The 6,969-nt window shown below is 39.8% G+C and overlaps 1 protein-coding gene across 2 annotated transcripts, besides 1 other annotated feature; it reads right to left on the bottom strand.

The window, feature by feature from the left end:
* Nucleotides 1-1,314: 1,314 nt before the first annotated feature.
* MRPL32 (mitochondrial ribosomal protein L32) lies at nucleotides 1,315-6,796 on the bottom strand. Of its 2 annotated transcripts, NR_156497.1 has the most exons (4): nucleotides 6,656-6,796; nucleotides 4,036-4,217; nucleotides 1,931-2,008; nucleotides 1,315-1,850 (listed from the first exon to the last, which is right to left on the bottom strand). NR_156497.1 is itself a non-coding variant. In NM_031903.3 (3 exons), exons 1-3 carry the CDS (start codon nucleotides 6,783-6,785, stop codon nucleotides 1,596-1,598), a joined length of 567 nt encoding a protein of 188 aa, NP_114109.1. In that variant the 5' UTR covers nucleotides 6,786-6,796; the 3' UTR covers nucleotides 1,315-1,595. The 2 variants fall into 2 exon arrangements, 1 of the variants encoding a protein (NP_114109.1); NM_031903.3 differs by lacking the exon at nucleotides 1,931-2,008.
* Nucleotides 6,618-6,847: an enhancer, noted in NCBI's record as "active region_25905". NCBI's record gives its function as "activates an Ori minimal core promoter by ATAC-STARR-seq in GM12878 lymphoblastoid cells {active_cell/tissue: GM12878}" and the evidence as "EXISTENCE:reporter gene assay evidence [ECO:0000049][PMID:35858748]".

Here is a 6,969-nt window from a genome sequence, read left to right as displayed (position 1 = left end):
GAAAAAAATGTTCAGCCTGTAATTCTGGCACTTTGGAAGGCCAAGGTGGGCAGATCACCTGAGGTCGGGACTAAAAATACAAAAATTAGCTGGGCATGGTAGCCGGTGCCTGTAATCCCAGCTATTTGGGAAACTGAGAACAAGAGACTTGCTTGAACCTGGGAGGTGAAGGTTGCAGAGAGCCGAGGTAGTGCCACTGCACTCCAGCCTGGGCGACAGAGTGAAACTTCGTCTCAAAAAAAAAAAGAAAAAAAGAAAAAAAATGTTGAGTCAAATATGCTGCCTAATATAGTATGTGTTCAGGTTACTGCAGCATGTATTTTTGCTGTAAATACTTCCCTGGGCTTTATCTTGTCTACCGATGTTACCTTTAACTATAATTCCCTAAGTTGCTTATCATTATGTGTTTTAAATAGCTACCTCACTTTTTTCATTTTGAATGAGGCAAGAAACAAAATAGCAAACCTTGGGCTCAAGGTGGACACAGGAATGAGAGAGGTAGAAGAAAATAAGAAATTAACTGTAGAAAGTTAAGTTAAAGGCCAGGCACACTGGCTCATGCCTGTAATCCCAGCACTTTGGGAGGCTGAGGAAGGTGGGATCGCCCGAGGTCAGGAGTTTGAGACCACCCTGGCCAACATGGTGAAACCCTGTCTCTACTAAAAATACAAATATTAGCTAGGCGTGGTGCCAGGCGCCTATAATCTCAGCTACTTGGGAGACTAAGACAGGAGAATCTCTTGAACCCAGGAGACGGAGGTTGCAGTGAAGCTGAGATCAGGCTATTGCACTCCAGCCTGGGCGACAAGAGCGAAACTCCATCTCAAAAAAAAAAAAAAAGAAAGTTAAGTTAAAGAGCCTATTGCCTATTGTTACAATGAGATAAAATTGATAAAACGTGAAATAAACTAAAAGGACATATTAAAAGAAAAATGCAAAGAACATTCGTATCACATTTTCAGTGTGCTATGGAATCTGCTCACATCTTTACTAATAATCTCTTCCAAAACATAGGCTATCTCATATATTCTGAATATGATTTTGATTTAATGTAAAATGTAAAGAAGTACTTCTATCACCTAAGTAAATTAGTATGTTTCATAAAAGTAATTTCCTCCAAAAGCAATTTTAATTTGCTAAGAGAAAAATAAGAACAAAAACCATTCTTACTGCCACACCTACCATCTTAAAAAACAATACCAAAAATGCAAATAATAACCTATTTCCATGTGTTACTTAAATGGAGTTATCTGTGTTAAGTATTCTTGTCTAAGAAAAGGCACTGGCAAACAAAACCAAAGCCAAAACACAGAATTTTTGCTATGAATTTTAAATTTTTTATTTTTGTTCTGGAAATTTTATGTTTACTTAAAACCTTGTATATAATAGAAACATAATCCATTGAGCCTTTGGATAAACAAAATTTTCGGAGTTTACTCATAATATATTCTTCAAATTATCCCACACAAAACTGCTTAGAAAGAATGTGTTAAACTATACTGATGATTTAAAAACAAGCACAACAACATAAAGAATCTTCCTCTATTTCAGGAGAAATGATTTACTGTGAAGTTACCCTTTTAACATCTTTGGTGTCAATTCTGGGTGAACCAGGATGGTCGCTTTCTGTCTCGTTCAATGATCCTCTTGCCCTGATCTTGTTCAGACGGTGTCTCTCCCGTGTACAGCACCACAGTCTCTATGGTGGGAGCCTTAAAAGGGCCCCCTTCTTGCTTCCCTATCTGTCGTCTGATTTCTGCAGTCTCCTTGCACACCTTTTCATAGCAGTAGGCACAAAGGACATGTTTCTGTTTCAGGTGACCACATTCAGGACAAACGTCTATGTTGTTCTTTAAAACAATAAACAAAAACGTATTTTAACATGAGGCAATATAACGAACAAATAACCACTGACAGGAGCAATGCTTACATTTTAACTTTCTTAGGATGTTCAGGCTACATGAGGTCATCATACACCATCTAGTTCCACCTCACTTTAACAGGAAGACTGAAGACAAGCAACACTGAGTTTGAATTAGAGAAAAACTAGAACTAGAATTCAGCCAACCTGAATCTGGTATCTTTACTTAAACACAGCAGTTGTAGTTATGTAAAAAAGAAAAAAGAAATACTCATTTCCCCTAACTCCAAATACTAAATATCAAATAAGGAATTTGTCAACATAATGAAGTGACCCAAACAATCAGCATCTTAAATAAGACACCAAGGAAAAGTGAATTCCCTTTGTCTTTCAATCTATCTTAGGGAAAACAAGATAAGAACATTACAAGTTGACTTCCTTGGCTTCCTCTTTTTATCACAGTGTAATTCAAATTCCTGTACAGAATACAGGTTTCGTATATGGTATAATTTTTCTTTTTAAAAATGAACACTGATTATTCCTTAATGTAAAATTATTTTCTATGTTACATTCTTAGGGTATTTTAATGATATATATATGTGTGTGTATATATATATATATAGAGATAGATATAGATATATATATATCTCCAACTTTAAATATAAAATAGAAACATTATAACCTCTAAAAGATTTATCAACTTATTCTAGATGTAGGTTTGAAAGAAAATACAAAGAAAAATACTAAACAGGATCATTAAAGAAGCTTTAAACACTTGATAAGATTAATATACTAACATTTGTGAGGCAGATAACAAAAGAATTTCCTTTTCTGAAAGGAAGAAAGAGGCTTGTATATTACTTGCCTAACCATATTCTCATTTTGCTCCACTACTGGAAACTGGATTGCATGCACAACTGAAGGTATGAAGACACCCACAGTCAGCTGGTCTTCCTTTCGTGATCAAAGTACCCAACATAACACACTATATACCGTATGTAACAGAAAATAATTCAAGGAAGAAAATAAATGCACAGGATAAGAACTATTCCTTCAGAATAAATGCGATCAGGGAAGTCACATAATAGATCAGTGCAAGATCTCATTCCTAAAATCTTACGTCCTCTTGAGCAAATTTATGAATTACTGTAAGTCTTAAGTAATAAAGTGTTTTTCAGTTCTACATTTAAGTTCAGCCCCAACCATCACTCAATAATACTTTCTGGCTTAAGTTCTAAGGTTTTGCTTAACAGAATGTGGATGCTTATGAAAGTCAGCTTTCTGTTCTCGAGTTTCATCTGTATGGTGCTGCTGTTGTGGAACGCCATGAAGTAAACAGTAACTGAAATCCTAACTGTTAAAACCATACATGAACAGATCAGAGGTAATACACACTGTAATTTTTCTTTACTAGATCAATGAAGACAGTACATCCATGTTGTCAGCGAGGAGAATCTGAAATTGTCTGAGGATAGGAGAACACAAAGAAAATCTTTAAAAGAACATGAGGTCAAAAATCAGAGCTCGAAAATCTACTGCTTCATAGCTGTGTGACCACAGGCAAATTCTTTTTGCCTCAGTTTTTTCATCCTAATAATGAAGAATATCTTATTTGCTTTGGAGGGCTATAAGACATGATGAGATATAATAAACATAAGGCACTGAGATACATCATAGACACTTAATTGTTGTTAGCTATTATATTACTTATCTTAGGGTTTTCCTTCATGGTATTTTGTTGGAAATGATAAAAAAATAAAACAAATATGTAAGGGCTTGTAAAACCCAAGATTCAGTATACCTACTGCTTCTAGCTTTAATTCTAGGCTCTGCCATAGTTAGGATGTTTACTCATCTGTAGTTCAAAACTCACACAGCTCAAGACTGACACAGCTCACAATTCAGAAGTCATGTAGGCACCTCACAGCCTCGTTCCTTGCCCAGTCTCCAAACTCACTCCTTCCTTGACTGTGTTTCTAATACTCAGGCTAGAGGACAGCAGGCTCTAGCCTTCTCATTATGTATATAATGAGAATACTGTATTTCATTTAGGCCAGAGGAAAGTAGACACATATAATCTGATAATAATTTATTCCTAGGCTATAGGAATCTACCATGAGCTTATTCAATGGAGGACTTGAGGAAAAGCACACCCACAAAAATCAATGCATTACCTTAACTTTAATAAGCTTCTGCGGATTTCTTCTCCTACACCGGTTAACTTCAATGGTGCGTCTATTTTTGGGAGCTGCCATCCAAAAGATACTGTCCAAAAGGCTGGAATTCTCTTTACTTCCACTGGTATCATTTGCTGGCTCTGTAAACATGGCTGGGCCCTGTACTGCTAATGCTGGTCCTAGGAAATAAAACATAAGAGATACAGAATTAGTTTCTAGCTTCTAAATTACTATTTACAGATATCATTTTCCTTAACAATCAATGGTCAAACATACACACACACAAAAACTATATATAAAATTTAGAATGTGAAACTCAATAATGAGAAACCTTAGCTATTAAAATACACTAAAGCTTATACAATTTTAAGGAACACAGAATTTTTTCTTAGCGGATCCTGCTGAAAAGAAGATCAGTGAAATTCCATCAAGTTTCTTATCTCATAAAATACAGGACTCTGATAGGCACCTAACTTGAACAAAACAAGCAAAGAATCACTCAACTGTCCACATTCTATTAATACTTGGCGGGTAGTAAGTACCTGATTAATTTACAAGTAAATCTAGACAGATTTCCTGAATACACTTCTGACCGGCACTGATGTAACTGCCAATTGCCTTTTCTTATATTCAAACTGAGTCAGGTCCTTTATGATACAACCTCTTAAGTCACTTAGTTCCTCATAACATTTAATCTTGATTCCTGTCTGCTCTCTAAAGAAAAGAGCCAGCTCACCATTTCTCTGTATGGCCTTATTTATGTGACTATCAAAGTTTCTCTTTTTCTGAATTGCTTATAAAATCAACATTCCTTTACCCTTTCCTTGCTATTTCTTAGACGTGCCATACTTTTTTTTTTTTTTTTTGAGACTGAGTCTCACTCTGTCACTCAGGCTAGAGTGCAGTGGCGTGACCTCGGCTCACTGCAACCTCCGCCTCCCTGGTTCAAGTGATTCTCCTGCCTCAGCCTCCCAAGTAGCTGGGATTACAGGTGTGCACCACCACGCCTGGTTAATTTTGTATTTTTAGTAGAGACAGGGTTTCACAATGTTGGCCAGGCTGGTCTTGAACTCCTGACCTTAGGTGATGGACCCACCTTGGCCTCCCAAAGTGCTGAGATTACAGGTGTGAGCCACCGCGCCCAGCCCACATACTTCTTTTGATCTTAAGAACTCTTAAAAATACACAAAGTTCTCTAACACTTAACAACTGGCATTTATTTTCAGTATGTCCACAAGTATTGCCAAGCATGCCCCGGTGATTAACAACACAGGCTCAGGACTGTCTGTGAACTTGGGACCATTGTGAGCCTACTGTTTCAGTTGGAAAGTGTATACACCTAATGGGACTGTTGTCAAGATTATCCCAGGAAGTACATGTAGAAAGCTTGGCACATTGCTTGGCATATAGTGGCATATATTTTCTTGGTATATTTCTGGATATTATCACTTTCAGGCTGCTTAGAAATTGAGTAGAATGTAAATGCCAAAGCCATGACAGTTTCAACATCCAAGATACTTCCAATTAAAATTAATTCCAAGTGAAACATGGGAAACAGAATTCAGCTCCTCAGAGCTCAAACACCACAGAAAACATGTACTGCGCGGGAGGGAGGGAGGAAGGGAGGAAAGAAGGGAGGGAAGGGAAGGGAAGAGGAGAGGGGGGAGAGGGGAAGCGGGAGGGGAGGTGAGGGCAGGGCTGGAAAGGAAAGACAGATCCAGAGAGTGGTGAGCCTTGATGCCAAGTGAGACCTGCAGAACTGTCCTCTCAGGACAACTCTGTACAAATCCCTGAACTCCACAGACTTGACCAAACTCTAGCATAGTTTCTAGCAGCATAAGGCTGTATCCTAGGATGACCTCGGCCCCCCCTTTAAAGTGCCTGCCTGAGAAAGCTCAACGCTGCCTGGAAAATTTCCTATTTATTTTGGCCAACATACCCCGATAGTAGGTCCCGAACTCCCTTAGAGCATTTCCTGGAAAGGGCATATAATTGTAAATACGTATCCCTTGCAACTAACTCGGAAGCTTTTCTTTCAAGGCCCTGAGAGCCATTCCTTCGAAATCTAATCATTAGGAAGGATAGGGCCTTTGTCTCCCAGTCTCTGCGGGAGGATAGAATTCTCCCTAAGACAACTGCGAGCTAGCAGACACAGCCGGCTAATCACATTTGCACTGACTTCACTATACTACACTTCTCTGACTCTACAGAGCCCCTACACTCCCGCCTCGCTCATTCTCCCTTTAAAACGCCCAAAGTCACCTCTGCACAAACCGGGATGGAGCTCAGCTCTTTACCTGCAGTAGTTACTGAATAAAATCTGTTTTCAGCGCTTTACTTACTGGCTGGCTATGATTTATCTTTGACACAAGCTTGGGTTACATTCTGTGTACGAATGGAACAAGCAGAGGAATTTTTTTTTTTTTTTTTTTGCGGTGGAGGGAGCGCAAAAACAGTCGTTCTGTTCTCGCTAATATGGGAATGTCACGAACTACGTCCCCGACATGAGGCCGCGGATCAGAACCGGGGCTGAGGGCGAACTGTGTAAGCTGCGTCTGCTACGCTGCCCGAGGTCCCGTCATCAGCCCCCTCTCCCACGGAGCCCTTCTTTACCTACCCCACGGAGGACTGGGAAAGCCCGGCCGGCTCTGCGGAAGCTTCCGTAGCAGTCGCTCCCAGTAGTTTCGAAGCACTCCCCGGGCCGCAGACCACGGCGAAACCACCAAGACCAGCATGGCCAGCGCCATTTTCCCTGCTGGAAGACCGCCCCGGTCCCGCCCCTGCTTTCAGCATGCGCACAGGCACAGAATCGGGCAAGCCTCGCTTCTTAGAACTACAACACCCCGCATGCTCTTGGAGCAGCTCTGACTCTCCTCCAATCATAGAGAGTAAAGGAAAGGTGAGGGGCGGGGAAATGAAAGGAAATCGGCC

Source organism: Homo sapiens, chromosome 7, assembly GCF_000001405.40.
Source record: "Homo sapiens chromosome 7, GRCh38.p14 Primary Assembly".
Lineage (NCBI taxonomy): Eukaryota > Metazoa > Chordata > Mammalia > Primates > Hominidae > Homo > Homo sapiens.
This window is presented reverse-complemented; position numbering and strand designations above follow the sequence as displayed.